The 18,653-nt window shown below is 44.7% G+C and overlaps 2 pseudogenes, besides 1 other annotated feature; one reads left to right on the forward strand and one right to left on the reverse strand.

The window, feature by feature from the left end:
* On the forward strand, positions 11,301-12,474 carry OR7E90P (olfactory receptor family 7 subfamily E member 90 pseudogene; annotated as a pseudogene).
* Positions 16,626-16,737: a silencer, noted in NCBI's record as "fragment chr2:159736430-159736541 (GRCh37/hg19 assembly coordinates)". NCBI's record gives its function as "represses an EF-1alpha promoter that drives an FKBP-Casp9 reporter gene in an ReSE screen in phorbol 12-myristate 13-acetate-treated (for megakaryocytic differentiation) K562 erythroleukemia cells {active_cell/tissue: K562(+PMA)}" and the evidence as "EXISTENCE:reporter gene assay evidence [ECO:0000049][PMID:32094911]".
* TRE-CTC7-1 (tRNA-Glu (anticodon CTC) 7-1) lies at positions 18,367-18,438 on the reverse strand (annotated as a pseudogene).

Here is an 18,653-nt window from a genome sequence, read left to right on the forward strand (position 1 = left end):
TCTGTTCCATTCCTTTTGTAGTGTGGGTTAAAAAAGGCAGCAAGGTCAAATAAGAATGATGTCACAGGGTGAACACCCACTGTGATATTAGGAGTAATACCTCCCTAGGATACAGAATATACTGTCACAGAGTATACACACATGGGGTACACCTGCTGTGATATTAGAAGCAATATCTCCCTAAAGTACGATGAAAAATATCACAGGGTGTGCACACTGTGTGATATGAGGAGTAATATTTACCCTGGATATTACGACTCATATCAAGGGTGTACACACCCGGGGTACACGCACTGTGATATCAGGAGTTGTATCTCCCTAGGATATTATGAATACTATCACAGGGTATACACTATGTGTGTACATCCACTGTGATATTTGAAGTAATATCTCTCTATGAGATTATAAATAACATCAAAGCTTGTACACCCCTGTGACATGTTAGGAGTAACATCCTTCCAGGGTATTGCAGATCACGCCACAACGTGTACACCTCCTGTGATGTTTTGTACACTCTTTGTGACATTAAAAGAAACATCCCCCTAGGATATTATGAATAATAAAACAGGAGGGGTACCCACATGGTGTACACCGCCTGTGTCTTCAGGAGTAACATTTCCCTAGGATATTACGAATAATATCACAGCAGGTGTACACACATGGTGTACACCCCATGTGACATTTGGAAGAGCATGCCCCTAGGATATTAGGAATAGTATCACAGGCGTTGAATACGCATTTTTAATGCGTAATGTCACCCCCGGTGACATTAAAAATAACATCCCCCTTGGATATTACGAATAATATGACAGGGAGTACACCCCGTGTGACATTTGGAGTAGCATCCCCAAAGGATATAACGGATAATATCAGAGGGTGTACATGCACTGTGACCTTAGCAGTAACATCTCTTTAGGATATTACAAATAGTATCACAGGGTGTACAGGCATTGTGACATAAGTGGTAACATCCCGCTGGGATATGACGAGTCACATCACAGGGTGTACACCCCCATGACAATAGTATCAACATTCCCCTAGAATACTATGAATAATATCACAGGAGGTACAGCCCCTGTGATTTACGAGTAACATGTCTACAGAATATTACAACTCATATCACTGTGTGACTCTGTGTACACCCCATGTGACTTTAGGAGGAACATCCCACAAAACTATGATGAAAAATATCACAGGGTGAACACCCCCTGTGACCTGAGGAATAACGTAGTTTTAGGATATTGTGAATGATGTGACAAGGTGTACACAACCTGTGACGTTAGGAGCAACATCCGTCTAGGATGTTAGGAAGAATATCACACGGAACACACCTCCTGGGACATTAGGATATGACAAATAATATCACAAAGTGTACACGCATCGTGTCATTAGTGCTAATATCCCTCTGGTACACTATGAATAATATCACAGGGTGTGCATCCCTGTGACATTAGCAGTAACATCCCCCTAGAATAGTAAGAATAATAACACGGGGTGTACACCACCTGTGACATGAGGAGTATAGACCCCAGGGAAATTACGAATACTATCACAGGGTGTACAGCCCTGTGACATTAGGAGTAACATCTTTCTAGAACATCACAAATAATATCACAATGTGTACACCCCCTGTGTCATTAAAAGTAAAATTGCCCTAGGATATTACGAAACAGAACACAGGGAGTACACCCCGTGTGACATTAGAAGTAAGATCCCCCGAGGATATAACGAATAAGATCAGAGAATGTACCCGCATTGGGACATCAGTAGTAACATCTCTTCAAGACAATACGAATAATACCAAAGGGTGTACACGCATTGTGAAATGACTAGTGAACTCCCGCTAGGATATTAGGAATTTGATAACAGGGTCTACACGCCCTGTGACATTAGCAGTAACGTTTTCCTAGAAGATGACGGAGAATATTAAAGGGTATACAGGACCTATGAATTACGAGCAACATTTCCATAGCATATTGCACGTAGCATCACTGTGTGTACACGCCGTGTGACATTAGGGGTAACAATATCACAGACTGGATGTCCAACCCCTGCGATATTGGTAGTCATATCAGCCTCTCCTCTCCATGGATATTAGGAAGAATATCCCGGGATGGGTGTACACCTCCTGCTGTATGGGGAGTCATATTGTCCTCTCCCTTCCTGGCTACTAGGAACAATATCGGAGGGTGGGTGTACACAGCCTGCGATATTGCGAGTAATATCACCCTCTCCCCCTCTGGATATTAGGAACAATGTCACAGAAGGGGTGTACACTTCCTGCCATACTGGGAGTAATAGCATTCTCTTCTTCCGTGAATATTAGGAGCAAAATCACCGGGTGCATGCACACCCAGTGCTATATTGGGAGTGACGTCATACTCCACCCCCTGGAGATGATATTCAGATCAATATCACCGGCTAGGTGTACACCTACCGCGATATTGAACGTAATATCATGCTCTCTCCCTCCCTGGACATTAGGAGCAATATCACAGGTGGGTGTACACCCACTGAGGTATTAGGCCTAATAGTAGTATGAATTATTCCTCATTTATTATTAACATGAATATGAATGACTGATATTAATATTACTATTAAGAAATAATTGCTAATAAAAAGTTTTCAGAGTATTAATATTAATATTAATTATTAGAAGTTAATATTGCTGTTTTCTAATGAATAAGATCAATATCAGTTATTAATATCAGGCGTCATTAATCATTAATATTAATCATTTATAGTTATTGTGAGTATAACTATTTAATATTAATCATCATTATTATCGGTATTGATTTTTAAAATTATATTATGAGTTATTAATATTGATAATTATTAGTGTCAATTAATAATTGAGATGATTAATTGCGGTAAGTCACATTGCGCCATTCCACCCCTCCCTCGGCAGCTCTTTTACGACCCAAAACGGGGATACAAATGCCCCTGAGAGAGCAGCGGTATACTGGGATAGAGGAGGATGGTCACGTGGTGGAGAGGAGTGTTTTTGGGTAGCAGCCCTTCACCTCCCTCGACTTCTCAACTAGAAAAACAATACACCGCCCTCTACCGAAAAGCCACAAGCCCTAATTGATTTGCTCCAAACTGTTATCCAGACCCACAACCACACCTGGGCTGATTGGCACCAGTTGCTCATGTTCCTCTTTAACAGCGAAGAAAGGCGGAGAGTCCTCCAAGCAGCAACTAAGTGGCTAGAGGAACATACAATAGCTGATTATCAAAACCCCCAAGAGTATGGAAGGACCCAGTTACCAGGAACCGACCCCCAGTTGGACCCACATGAAAGAGAGGATATGCAAAGGCTAAACCAAGACAGGGAAGCTGTCTTGGAAGGATTAATGAGGAGAGCTCAGAAGGCCACAAACGTTAACAAGCTCTCTGAGGTCATTCAGGGAAAAGAAGAAAGTCCAGCACAATTCTACTAGAGACTGTGTGAGGACTGTCGTCTGTATACTCCCTTTGATCCCGATAGCCCTGAAATCAGCGCATGATTCACATGGCTTTAGTCCATCAAAACACAGAAGACATGAGAAGAAAACTGCAGAAACAGGCTGGGCTTGCAGGGATGAATACATCACAATTACTAGAAATAGCTAGCCAGGTGTTTGTAAACAGGGATGCAGTAAGCCGTAAGGAAAACGGCAAAGAGAATGGAGGTCAGGCCCAGTGAAACACCGAACTGTGGGTTAGCTGCAGCAATCAGAGGGGCCCCCCCGCAAAGAGGCAAGGGAAGGGGGGTCCTGGGAAAGAAACTCAGCTTGGCTGTCAGAGTTTGCAGTGTAACCAGTGTGCTTATTGTAAAGAAATAGGACAGTGGAAGAACAAATGCCCTCAGCTCAAAAGAAAACAAGGTGACTCCGAGCAGGAGGCCCCGGACAAGGAGGAAGGGGCCCTGCTCAACCTGGCTGAAGAGTTATTGGACTGACGGAGACCGGGCTCAAGCGTCCCCAAAGAGCCTCTGGTCAGAATGACAGTTGGGGGAAGAGACATTGATTTTCTTGTAGATAGCGGTGCTGAACATTCGCTAGTAACTGCCGCGGTCGCCCCCTTATCCAAAAAGACTATTGACGTCATCGGAGCCACGGGGGTTTCAGCAAAGCAAGCTTCCTGCTTGCCTCGGACTTGTACTGTGGGAGGATATCAAGTCATTCATCAGTTTTGGTACATGCCTGACTGCCCCTTGCCCTTTTGGGGAAGGGACTTGCTCAGCAAGCTGAGAGCCACTATCTCTGACAGAGCATGGCTCTTTGCTGCTAAAGTTACCCGGAACAGGAGTCATTATGACCCTTATGGTCCCCTGAGAGGAGGAATGTAGACTTTTCTGAACGGAGCCGGGCCAAGAGAGAAGACCAGCTCTGGCTAAGAGGTGGCCAAGAGTACAGGCAGAACACAACCCTCCGGGATTGGCCAGTTAAGACCGGCACCCAGCCAGTTAGGCACAAACAGGAACCCGTCCCCAGAGAAGCTCTTCAAAGTATCCAGGTCCGTCTCAAGCACCTAAGAACTTTTGGAATGATTGTTCCTTGTCAGTCTCCGTGGAACACTCCCCTCCTGCCTGTTCCCAAGCCACGGACCAAGGACTACCGGCCGATACAAGATTTGCGCTTGCTTAATCAAGCTACACTGACTTTCCATCCAACAGGAGCTAACCCGTCCGCATTGTTGGGGTTGCTGCCAGCTGAGGACAGCTGCTTCACCTGCTTGGACCCGAAAGATGCTTTCTTTCCTATCAGATTAGCCCCTGAGAGGCAGAATCTGTTTCCCTTTCAGTGGGAAGATCTGGAGTCAGGTGTCTCTAGTCAGCACACTTGGACCGGGCTTCCCCAAGGGTTCAAGAACTCCCCCACCATCTTCGGGGAGGCATTGGCTCGAGACCTCCAGAAGTTTCCCACCAGAGACCTAGGCTGCGTGTTGCTCAAGTAGGTTGATGACCTTCTGCTGGGACACCCCACAGCAGTCGGGTGTGCCAAGGGAACAGATGCCCTACTCCGGCACCTGGAGGACTGTGGGTATATGGTGTCCAAGAAGAAAGCTCAGATCTGCCGACAGCAGGTACGTTACTTGGGATTTACTATCCAACAGGGGTCGGAACGCAGCCCGGGATCAGAAAGAAAGCAGGTCATTTGCAATCTAGCGGAGCCTAAGAGCAGAAGGCAAGTGAGAGAATTCTTAGGAGCTGTGGGATTTTGTAGACTCTGGGTCCCAAACTTTGCAGTATTAGCCAAGCCTTTGTATGAGGTCACAAAGGGGGCGGGGACTGGGAACCTTTGGAATGCGGATCCCAACAACAGCAAGTCTTTCATGAGTTAAAGGAAAAACTTCTGGCAGCCCCAGCCCTGGGGCTACCTGACCTGACAAAGCCTTTTCCATTGTATGCATCAGAGAGAGAAGAGATGGCAGCTGGACTTTGAACCCAAACTGTGGGGCCCTGGCTGAGGCCAGTGGCCTACTTCTCTAAACAACTAGACGGGGTTTCTAAAGGATGGCCCCCCTGTTTGAGGGCCTTGGCAGCAACTGCCCTGCTAGGACAAGAAGCAAATAAGCTGACTCTTGGGCAAAACCTGAGCATAAAGGCCTCCCATGCTGTGGTGACTTTAATGAATACTAAAGGACATCGTTGGCTAACGAATGCCAGACTCACCAAGTACCAAATTTTGCTCTGTGAAAATCCCCGTATAACCATTGAAGTTTGTAACACCCTACACCCCGCCACCTTGCTCCTGGTATCAGAGAGCCCTGTCGAGCCTGATTGTGTAGAACTGTTGGACTCAGTTGACTCTAGCAGACCTGACTTCCAGGACCAGCCTTGGGCATCAGTAGACTTGGAACTATACGTGGATGGGAGCAGCTTCTTCAACCCCCAAGGAGAGAGAGGTGCAGGGTGTGCCGTGGTAACCCTGGACACTGTTGTTGAAGCCAGATCGCTGCCCCAGGGCACTTCAGCCCAGAAAGCTGAACTCATTGCTTTCATTCGGGCCTTAGAACTCAGTGAGGGTGGGACTGTCAACATTTACACTGATTCTTGGTATGTCTTTTTAACCCTTCAAGTGCATGGAGCGTGATAGAAAGAAAAGGGCCTATTGAACTCTGGGGGAAAAGACAGAAAATATCAACAAGAAATCTTGCAATTATTAGAAGCAGTATGGAAACCCCACAAGGTGGCAGTTGTGCATTGCAGAAGACACCAGCGAGCTTCTACCTTGGTGGGTTTGGGGAATTCCCGCACTGACTCAGAGGCTCGAAAAGCAGCATCTGCCCCCTTCCAGGCATCAGTGCTCCCTCAAGCACCTGATCTTGGACTTACTTCTTCTAAAGAAGAAAAGGACTTTCTCCAGGTAGAGGGAAGGACAAGTGATGCAGGAAGGATGGATTCGGTTACCAGATGGGAGAGTAGCCGTGCCACACTTGCTAGGAGGTGCAGTTATACTGGCTGTGCATGAAACCACGCATGTAGGTCAGGAGTCACTGGAAAAGTTGTTAGGCTGGTATTTGTACATCTCGCATTTGTCAGCCCTCGCCAAAACGGTGAGGCAGCAGTGTGTTACCTGCCAACAGCATAATGCGAGGCAAGGTCCAGCCGTTCCACCCGGCATACAAGCTTACGGAGCAGCCCCCTTTGAAAATCTCCAGGTAGACTTCACAGAGATGACAAAGTGTGGAGATAACACGTATTTACTAGTTCTTGCACATACCTACTCTGGGTGGGTGGAGGCCTATCCAACATGAACTGAGAAATCTCGTGAAGTAACCCCTGTGCTTCTTCGAGATCTGATTCCGAGATTTTGACTGGCCTTATGGATTGGCTCAGATAACGGGCCTGCGTCTTTGGCTGCCTTGGTACAGAAGACGGCAAAGGTATTGGGGATCACACGGAAACTGCATGCCACCTCCCGGCCTAAGAGTTCCGGAAAGTTGGAGCGGATGAATCAGACTATCAAAAATAGTACTATTATCTTCCCCGCTGGATATTTAAAACAACACCACAAGCAAGGGGCCTCAAAGCACCTGCTAAATTTGAGGGAATGTTATCCTCTCCCCCCCCTCCCCTGACCCTGGATATTAGAGACAATAACACAGGGGTAATGTACACCCACTGCTTTATTGGGAGTACCATCATCCTCTCCCTTCTTGAATATTAGGAGCAGTATCACACTGCGCGTGTACGCCTGTCGTGAAATTCTATGGAATGTCACCCTTTGCCTCCCTGGATATGATGAACAATATCACGGGGGATGTACAACTTCCGAGATATTGGCAGTGATATCATCCTCTCCCCTCTGGAAGTTAGGGAAAATATCACAGGGGTAGTGTACACCCTCTGGGATGTTGGGATTAATATCATCCTCCCGCCCACTGGATATTAAAAACCATATCACAAGGGCATGTACACACACTTCGATATTGGTATTAATACCATCCTCTCCCTCTTTGGATATTCGGTGCCATATTTCAGGTGGGGTATATACCACCTGCAATATTGGAAGTAATATGATTTTCTCCACCCCCCACATATCAGAAACAATAACACAGGGGGGTGTCAACAACCCCTGCGATATTTGGAGGAATATCATCGTCTCTCCTCAAGAATATTAAGAACAATATCGTAGGGGTGGGGGGTGTACACCCCCTTTCATATTTGATATCATCCTCTTCCCCCCTGGATATTAGGAACAATATCAGGAAGGGATGTACAGACCCTGCGACCTTTGCTGTCATATAATTTTCTCTCCCCTAGATATTAGGACAAATGTCACTGGGGATGTGAACAGCCCTGCGATATTCGGAGTAGTGTCATCCTCTGCACCCTTGCATATTGGGAACAACATCACAGGTGGGGTGTACTGCCTCTGCGATATTGGGAGTAAAATTTTCCTCTCTTCCCCTGGACATTAGGAAGGGTATCAGAGGGGGAGGGTGTACATTCCCTGCGATATTCAACGTAACCTTATCCTCTCCCTCCCATGGTATTCAGAACAATAAGACAGGAGGGGTGTACACACCCTGCGATATTGAGAGTCATATCATCCTCTTTCGCTCTGGATATTAGGAACAATATCACAGGGTTGTGTACACCCCTTACAATAGTGGGAGTAATATCATCCTCTCTCCCTGTGGATATTAGGAAGAGTATCACAGGGCTGTGTAAACCCCCTGCGGTACTGGGAGTAATATCATCCTCTCTCCCTCTGGATATTAGGAAGATTTTCACAGGGGTGTGTACACCCCCTACGATATTGGGAGTAATATCATCCTCTCCACCCAGGAAATGACTAACAAGGTCACGGGGGAGTGTACTCCCCCTGTGATATTGGGAGTAATGTCGTCCTCCCCAAACCTGGATGTTAGCAACAGGATCACAGAGGGGGTGTACACACCCTGCGACATTGGAAATAATAATGATCCTCTCCCCACCTGGATATGGGGAAAGATATCACAGCGCGGGTATACATTTCCTACGCTGTTAGGAGTAATATCATTCTTTTCCTTTCTGGATATTAGGAAGAATATCACAGGGGTGCTGTACAATTACTTCGATATTGGGATACTCTATTTTCCTGGATATTGGGCACAAAAACACAAAAGGGTGTACAGCCCCTGCGATATTGGGAATAATAGCATACTCTCCTTCCCTGGATGTTAGAAAACAATATCATCAGGGCTGAACACCCCCGGCGATAAGGGGAGTCATAGTGACTCTTTCACAGGCCATTTGGAACAATATCACAGGGGGTGTTTACAAACAGGGGTGGTGTACACCCCCTGGGATATTGGGAGTAACATCATTCTCTCCACCTCCGGATATTAAGAACAATATCCTGGCGGGAGGTGGTACACCCCCAGTGATATTGGGAATAATGTCATCCTCTCCTTCCCTGGATATTCGGAACAATATCACAGGGGGGTGTACACCTTCTGTGATATTGGAAGCAATATCATCCTCTCCCCCGCTGGATATTAGAAAAAATATCACTCATGGTGTACATCCACTGTGATATTAGGAAGAATATTACAGGGTGTACACCCACTCTGATTTTAGGAGAAATAGCTCCCTCAAATGTCACAAATAATACCACAGGGTATACACTGATGTCTCCCTAGGATATTACAAATACTATCACAGGGTGTACACCCACTGTGATAACAGGAGTAATACGTCGCAAGGATACTACCAATAATATCCCAAGGCCGTACACCCACTATGACACAGGGAGTGATATCTCCCTAGGGTATTACGAATAATATCACAGAATGTACACCAATGATGTGCACCCACGGTGACATTAGGAGTAATATCAACCCAGGACATAACCAATAACACCACAGGGAGTACAGACATGATGTACACCGACAGTGATGTTAGGAGAACTATCTCCCTAGGATAATACGAATAACATCACAGAGTTTACACACATGGTATACACCCACTGTGGCACTGGGACTAATAACTTTCTAAGATATTATGAATAGCATCACAGAATAGAAACACATGGTGTACACCCACTGTAACACAAGGTGTAATTTCTCCCTAGGATATTACGAGTGACATCTCAGTGCGTACACACATGGTAAACACCCACTGTGACATTAAGGGTAATATCCCCCTAGGATATTACCAATAACATCACAGGGTGTCCACCCATGGTGTACACGCTCTGTGATGTTAGGGATAATAACTCCCTAGGATATGATGAATAATACCACAGGGTGTACAGAAACTGTGATATTAGAGGTAATATCGCTCTAGGATATTATGAATAATATCACAGGGTGTACATCCACTGTGATACTGGGAGCAATATCTCTCTAGGATAGTACAAATAATATCACAGAGTGGACACCCACTGTGATGTTAGGAGAAATATCTCTCTGGGATATTACAAATCATATCACAGAGTGTACACACGTGGTGTACATCCACTTTGCTATTAGGAGTAATATCTTCCTAGGACATTACAAATAACATCGCAGAGTGTACACCCACTGTAATATTAGGAATCGTATTTCCCTAGGTGATTACAAATACTATCACAGGGTGTACACCCACTGTGATATTAGGAGTAATATCCTCCTAGGGTATTACAAATAATTTCACAGTCTGTACACACATGGTGTACACTCACTGTGATATTAGGAGTAATATCTACCTAGTGGATAACAAATAACATCGCAGGGTGTACACCCACTTTGATATTAGCTGTAATATTTTCCTAAGTTGTTACAAATAATATCACAGGGTGTACGAACAGGGTGTACACTAACTGTGATATTCAGAGTCGTATCTCCATAATATATTATGAATAATATCACAGGGTGTACACCCACTGTATTATTAGGAGTGATATCTCTGTAGGATATTACAATTAATATCACAGGGTGTGCAGCCACTGTGATATTAGGAGCAATATCTTTCTAGGATATTACAAACAATATCACAGGGTGTATGCTCACTCTGCTGTCAGGAGCAATATCTCCCTAGGATATCCAAAATAATATCACAGGGTGTACAATCTCTGCCTTCCAGGTTCTAAGGGATTCTCCTGCTTCAGCCTCCCGAGTAGCTAGGGTTACCCGCCAGCACGCCCGGCTAATTTTTTTTTTATTTTCACTAGAGACGGGGTTTCACCACGTTGGCCAGGCTGGTCTGGAACTCCTGACCTCAGGTGATCCGTCGGCCTCGGCCGCCCAAAGTGCTGGGATTACAGGTGTGAGCCATGGCGCTCGGCCAAGAGTTATATATTAAATTCATTTGGAAACACAGCTCCCATATTTGAGTGTGCATGTACTTCTATGAAGAAATGATGTCAGAAAACCTAAGGATGATAATAAATATGAAAAGTAACAGGCATGTGAAAAGGTGTTCCGATTGAGAACTCTAAGGTTCGATTTCGTTTTTAGATAATGGGGTCCTAGCTCTTGTATCATCCTCTTACATATTCTACATCAAAGGAATTTGTAGCACGGTGTCAGAATAAAATAGAGCGTATTTCACTGCTTCTTAATTTCTTTCAATTAGACTGAGATCTTTTTCTTAAAGAGAGAAGGACATTTTCATTGCATTTTATTTTTTCTGAAAAGAGTAGGCCGTATTTTACTGAGATCACGGATTTGTTATATATTAAGTTTTGGTCTTCCAACATTCTTCAGTGGGTTTTCTCTAAAGTAGTATGTACAGAAGGAGTTGAATAGCAAAAAAGTAAATCACGTAATAACTCTGAGATTTTTGGGTTTGTCACAACTGAGAAATATTGCTGATGGCGTATGGTCCTCAAGTGTGAAAATGTTCCCTGTGAATTGCTTGCATCCAAAATATACACACAGCATTAAGGGCTGGTTTTTATCTTTTATTTTTCCAATCCTCTTTCCTTCTCAAGGTGTCCAAGACACACGGAGCCACGGAATCTCACAGGTGTCTGAGAATTCCTCCTCCTGGGACTCTCAGAGGATCCAGAACTGCAGCCGGTCCTCGCTTTGCTGTCCCTGTCCCTGTCCATGTCCATGTATCTGGTCACGGTGCTGAGGAACCTGCTCAGCATCCTGGCTGTCAGCTCTGACTCCCAACTCCACACCCCCATGTACTTCTTCCTCTCCAACCTGTGCTGGGCTGACATCGGTTTCACCTCGCCCATGGTTCCCAAGATGATCATGGACATGCAGTCGCATAGCAGAGTCATCTCTCATGCGGGCTGCCTGACACGGATGTCTTTCTTGGTCCTTTTTGCATGTATAGAAGACATGCTCCTGACTGTGATGGCCTATGACTGCTTTGTAGCCATCTGTCGCCCTCTGCACTACCCAGTCATCATGAATCCTCACCTCTGTGTCTTCTTCGTTTTGGTGTCCTTTTTCCTTAGCCTGTTGGATTCCCAGCTGCACAGTTAGATTGTGTTACAATTCACTTTCTTCAATAATGTGGAAATTGCTAATTTTGTCTATGAGCCATCTCAACTTCTCAACCTTGACTGTTCTGACACCGTCATCAATAGCGTATTTATATATTTCGATAGTACTGTTTGGTTTTCTTCCCATTTCAGGGATCCTTTGTCTTAGTATAAAATTGTCCCCTCCATTCTAAGGATGTCATCGTCAGATGGGAAGTATAAAGCCTTCGCCACCTGTGGCTCTCACCTAGCAGTTGTTTGCTGATTTGATGGAACAGGCATTGGCATGTACCTGACTTCAGCTGTGTCACCACCCCCCAGGAATGGTGTGGCGGCGTCAGTGATGTACGCTGTGGTCACCCCCATGCTGAACCTTTTCATCTACAGCCTGAGAAACAGGGACATTCAAAGTGCCCTGCAGAGGCTGAGTAGCAGAACAGTGGAATCTCATGATCTGTTCCATCCTTTTTCTTGTGTGGGTGAGAAAGGGCAACCACATTAAATCCCTACATCTGCAAATCCTGCCCCTTAGTCACATTCTTTTTGTGGCTTGATGGCTTTTATTCCTTTCCGCATTTCCTTTGTGAATATTGCTTTCTTCGTTATGCCTTTAACTGGAATGGGTGAGTATTCTGGGATCCTCTGTTTAGCAGGAACCTCATGACAGAATCCTCTATACCTAGGCGGCCTCTTTTAGTTTCTGAGCAATAACCCTGTCATCCAGGTGGAATCACAACCATCTTTTTATATACACGAAGTCCTCTCTTCATTTTGGAATTCCCTGAAGACTGACTTTATGGAAACAATGTACAGGAGGTCCTCCAACACCACTGGTTGTTCAAAGTTGTGTAGTTATACTGTTGGTGAGGAATAAGTGGTTTCGCTATATCTAATTTTGCTTAAAGGTGAAGTTTCCAAGAGACTTTCAAAGATGTTAAGTGAGGACATACTGTAAATCAAATTCATATCCTCTTCCAGAGTTCATGTGGAATTTCTTTATAAACTGCTTCTAGAGAATCAATTTAGGCAGGTTATGTGTAGAGATCCAAGTCACCGGTCCTCAATCTTGGCTTTGAGTCAAATCACCTGGGGAGCTTACAAATGATGAGGCCTGGGTCTCAATACCTGAGATTCTGATTTCCTTGCACCTGTGTGAGTATGTGGATTTTTTTTTGTTTATTTTTTAAAGCACCAGAGGTGGTTGCAATGACGAAGTTTTTAGAGGCATCAAGCTCCAATGAGTAAGAACGGAAGTTAATTGTAATATGATTTCTTCAAATATTATCTTCAAATGCATTGTCCATCAACACCATACCAATGTTTATTATGCAGTTGTTTCTTACCATTTAGCATTTTATATTTTTTTTCTTTTTTTTTTTTTTTTTTTTCTTTTTGAGGCAGAGTTTCACTCTTGTTGCCCAGGCTGGAGTGCAATGGCATGATTTCGGCTCACTGCAATCTCTGCCTCCCATATTCAAGCGATTCTCCTGTCTCAGCCTTCCAAGTAGCTGGGATTACAGGCATGCACTACCATGCCCGGCTGATTTTTTTTTTTTTCTTTTTTTCTTTCTTTTTTTTTTTTTTTTGGTATTTTTAGTACAGACAGTGGTTCTCCATATTGGTCAGGCTGGTCTTGAACTCCCGACCTCAGGTGATCCACCCGCTTCCGCCTCCCAATGTTCTGGGATTACAGGCGGGAGTGACCGCGCCCAGCCACCACTTAGCATTTACATTTTACATTTGTTGAAATTATAGATTTATACACACTTTGATTGCTGCTTTGTTATACACTTGCATATACATAGGATGGGAAATAGAAAAGAATAAAATCGGCAACGTATCCCTGAAGTTTCACAGTCCGAGACATGTTAAAAATATTTGCTTTTTAGAAATTTGTTTCCATTGAGAAACTGTGGTATACACACACAATGAAGTATTATTCAGCCTAAAAAGGAATAAACAAAATCCTCTCCACTGCAGACAAAATGGATGAGATTGCAGGTCTGTATATTAAGTGAAAGAAGCCAGGCACAGAATGACAAATATTTCATGTCCTCACTTCTATGTAGGAACAAAAAGAAAATCTTGGCCAGGTGTAGTGGCTCAGGCCTGTAATCCCAGCACTGTGGGAGGCCGAGTCGCACGAATCACTTGAGGCCAGGAGTTCGAGACCCGCCTGGCCAACATGGTGAAACCCCGTCTCTACTGAAAACACAAACAATTAGCCGGGCGTGGTGACACGTGCCTGTAGTCTCAGCTACTCGGAGGGCTGAGGCCCAAGAAGCACTTGAACTCGGGAAGCGGAGGTTGCAATGAGCAACCTTTAAGATTATGAAGATTATTAAAGGGTGTACAGGACCTGTGAATTACGAGTAACATTTCCATAGCATATTGCACGTAACATCACTGTGTGTACACGCCGTGTGACATTAGGGGTAACATCCCACAAAATTATAACGAACAATTTCACAAGGTGTGCACCCTCTGTGAAATTAAAAGTAACATTTCCCTAGAATATGACGACAAGATCACAGAGTGTACACCCTCTGTGATATGAGGAGTGACATCTTATGAGGATAATACGAGTAATTGGACAAGGTGTACAAACCCTGTGACATAAGGAGTGACATCCCTCTAGGATATTAAGAATAATATCAAACGGAACATACCCCGTGTGACAATAAATGCAACCTCCCCTTAGGAGAATAAGAATAACACCACAAGGTGAACACACAATGTGACATTATTATTAAGGTAAAGCTAGGATATTGGGAATAACATCACAGTGTACAGAGTCCTGTGACATCAGGTTTAACTTTCCCCTACAAAATTAGGAATAGTATTGAAGGGTGTATACCCTCTGCGACTTTAGCAGCCGCATCTTGCTACAATATGGAAGATAATGTCCCAGGGTGTGAACCAAGGGTGGCAGTAGGGAAAAGATCCTAGGACAAATCGGGGAGTAATATCACCCCCCTCTCCCCCCCGGATATGACGATCCACATCGCAGCGGGGCGGGCGCCCTCCGCGATGCGTCGAGTAATATCACGCCCCCCTCCCCCCCTGGATATTATGATCCAGGGTGGTCACGTAGCCTGTTCACGTTATTCTCAGTAATATCTTCTCCACCTCTGGAAATTACCAACTATATCACAGATGGGTGTACATCCTCTGCACTATTTGCAGTAATTGCATCCTCTTCCCTCTGGATATTAAGAAAAATATCACAGGAGTGTTTCTACCCCTAGTGGCATTGGGTGTAGTATCATCCTCTCCCACGTTGAAATTAGGAAAAATATCACTGGGGGCGTGTCCACCCCATGCGATGTTGAAAGTAATATCCTCTTGTCTCATGGATCATGGGAACAATATCAGTGGCGTGGTGTACACTTTCTGCGGTATTGGTAGTAAGATCATCCTCTCCGCCTTGGAATATTAAGGACAGTATCACAGGCCGATGTACACACCCGGCCGTATTAAGAGGAATATTATCCTCTCCCGCCCTGCATATTAGGAACAATATCATAGAGTGGGTGTAAACCTCCTGCGATATGGGGAGTAATATCATCTTCTCTTCTTCTGGATAGTATCAACAATATCACACGGGTTTGTACAATTTCCGTGATATTGGGAGTAATAACCTCTCTGCCTTTGAATATTAAGAACAATATCACAGACTGGATGTACACCCCCTGCGATATTGGGAGTCATATCAGCCTCTCCTCTCCATGGATATTAGGAATAATATCCCAGGATGGGTGTACACCTTCTGCTGTATGGGGAGTCATATCGTCCTCTCCCTTCCTGGCTATTAGGAACAATATCACAAGGTGGGTGTACACAGCCTGCGATATTGGGAGTAATATCACCCTCTCCCCCTCCGGATATTAGGAACAATATCACAGAAGGGGTGTACACTTCCTGCGATACTGGGAGTAAAGCATTCTCTTCTTCTGTGAATGTTAGGAGCAATATCACCGAGTGGATGTACACCCACTGCTATATTGGGAGTAACGTCATACTCCACCCCTGGATGTTATATTCGGATCAATATCACCGAGTGGGTGTACACCTACTGCGATATTGAACGTAATATCATGCTCTCTCACTCCCTGGTCATTAGGAACAATATCACACGTGAGTGTACACCCACTGAGATATTAGGCGTAATATTAGTATTAATTATTACTCATTTATTAGTAACATGACTATGAATTACCAATATTAATATTAAGGAATAATTGCTAATAAAGTTATCAGATTATTAATGTTAGTATTAATTATTAGGAGCTACTATTACTGTTTTCTAATGAATAAGGTCAGTATCAGTTATTAATTTCAGGCATTGTTTATCATTAATATTAATCATTTATTGTTTTCTTTAGTATAACTATTTAATATTAATTATCATTATCGGTATTGATTTTAAAAATTATAGTATCAGTTTTTAATATTGATAATTATTAGTATCAATTAATAATTGATATTATTAATTGCGATACGTAATATTGCGACATTCCTCACAATATCGCAGAAAATATACACCCCCCTGTGATGTTGTTCCTGACAGCCAGGGGTAGACGATGAGATTACTCCAAATATCGAACTGAGTGTACATCCCTTCTGTGATGTTGTTGCTAATATCCAGGCGGGGAGAGGACACCTGCGCATCAGCGGGGGGTGCCCATGCCCCTGCGATGTAGCTCCTAATATCCATGGGGAAGGGGGGTAGATATTATTCCCCGCATCACTGTGGATGTCCACCCCCTGCGATGCGGCTCGTAATATCGGGGGTGGGGGGGTGATGTTTCTCCCCGCATCGCGGGGGTCGCCTGCCCCCCTGCGATGTGTATCGTAATATCCAGTGAAGGAGAGGGGGATGATATTACTACCTGCATGGTGGCGGAGTCTATCCGAGGTCGGGATACTATACACCCCCTGGGATATTGGGAGTACAACCCCTGTGATATTGGGAGTAGTATCATTCTCTTCTCCCCCTGAATATTAGGGACAGTATCATGGAGGGGGTGTTCACCCCCTGCCATATTGTGAGTCATGTCATTTTCTCTACCCGTGGACATTAGAAACAATATCACAGGGGTGGTGTACAACCCTGCGAAATTGGGAGATATATCTTCCTCTCCACTTTTAGATACTAGGGACAACATCACAGGGGAGGTCTACATCTTCTGGATAATTGGGATTGATACTGTCCTCTCCCCACCTGGATATTAGCAACAGCATCACAGAAGGGATGTACACCCAGTTCGATACTGGGAAAAATATCACAAGGGCGTGTATTCCCCCTTCCATATTGGGAGTCTTATCATACTTGCCTTCCATATATTAAGAAGAATATCAAAGGGGGGTGGACACTTTGACGATATAGGGAGTAACGTCATTCTCTCTACCCCTGGATATTAGTAGCAATATCACAGGAAGATGTACATTTCTTGTGATATTGAGAGTTGTATTATTGTCTTCCCCGCTGGATATTAAAAACAATACCACAAGGGGTGTCAAACCACCTGCCAAATTTCAGGGAATTTTATCCTCTCCCCCCTGCCCCGGATATTAGAGACAATAACACAGGGATAAAGTACACCCACTGCTTTATTGGGAGAAGTATCATCCTCTCCTCCCTTGGATATTAGGAACAATATCACAGGGGAGGCGTACTGCCTCTGCGATATTGGGAGTACAATTATACTCTCTTACCCTGGATATTAGAAAGGGTATCAGAGGGGGAGGGTGTACATTCCCTGTGATATTCAATGTAATCTTATACTCTCCCTCCCAGGGTATTAAGAACAATATTACGGGAGTGGTGTACACCCTCTGCGATATTGAGAGTCATATCATCCTCTTTCGCTCTGGATATTAGGAACAATGTCACAGGGTTGTGTACACCCCCTGTGATATTGGGAGTAATATCATCCTCTCTCCCTGTGGATATTAGGAAGAGTATCACAGGGCTGTGTACACCCCCTGGGGTACTGGGAGTAATATCATCCTCTCTCCCTCTGGATAGTAGGAAGAGTTTCACAGGGGTGTGTACACCCCCTGCGATATTGGGAGTAATATCATCCGGTCGCCCTGAGGAGAGAAGCCATTTCTCTACTGTCTTCTGTCTCTGAAGAGGAGGAGGAAGTAAAAGTTGAAAAACAACAGGAATGAAGTCAGCGGCAAGACCAGCCGGTGGCACTGAGGAGCCCACCTGAGGTGAAAATATTAACCACCCCCTCCCCCACTCTAAGCACATGTGCTCTCAATCCATCACGACCCTTTCACGTGGAACCCCTTAGAGTTGTAAGCCCTTAAACAGGCCAGGAACTCTGTCTTCCTTCAGGGAGCTTGACTCTTAAGATGCAAGTGTGCCGACGCTCCCAGCCAAATAAAAAAACCTCTTCCTTCTTTATTCCGCTATCTGAGGGGTTTTGTCCGTGGCCAGTCCTGCTCCATTTCTTGGTTCCCTGACCGGGAATTGAACGCAGGCTGCGGTGGCGAGAGTGCCAAATCCTAAGCACTAGACCACCAGGGGAACTTAGAATCTTGTGGGAAATAGATTGCCCACCATTAGAAGTGGGTTGGCCATCAGAAGGAAGCCTGGACAGGTCCCTTGTTTCCAAGGTGTCGCACAAGGTAACTGGTAAAGGATACCTAGACCAGTTCCCATACATAGACACTTGGTGACAGCTGGTGCTAGACCCCCCACAGTGGCTAAGAGGGCAGGCAGCAGCAATACTAGTAGCAAAG

The sequence above is a fragment of the Homo sapiens genome, chromosome 2 (genome assembly GCF_000001405.40).
Source record: "Homo sapiens chromosome 2, GRCh38.p14 Primary Assembly".
NCBI classification, from domain to species: domain Eukaryota; kingdom Metazoa; phylum Chordata; class Mammalia; order Primates; family Hominidae; genus Homo; species Homo sapiens.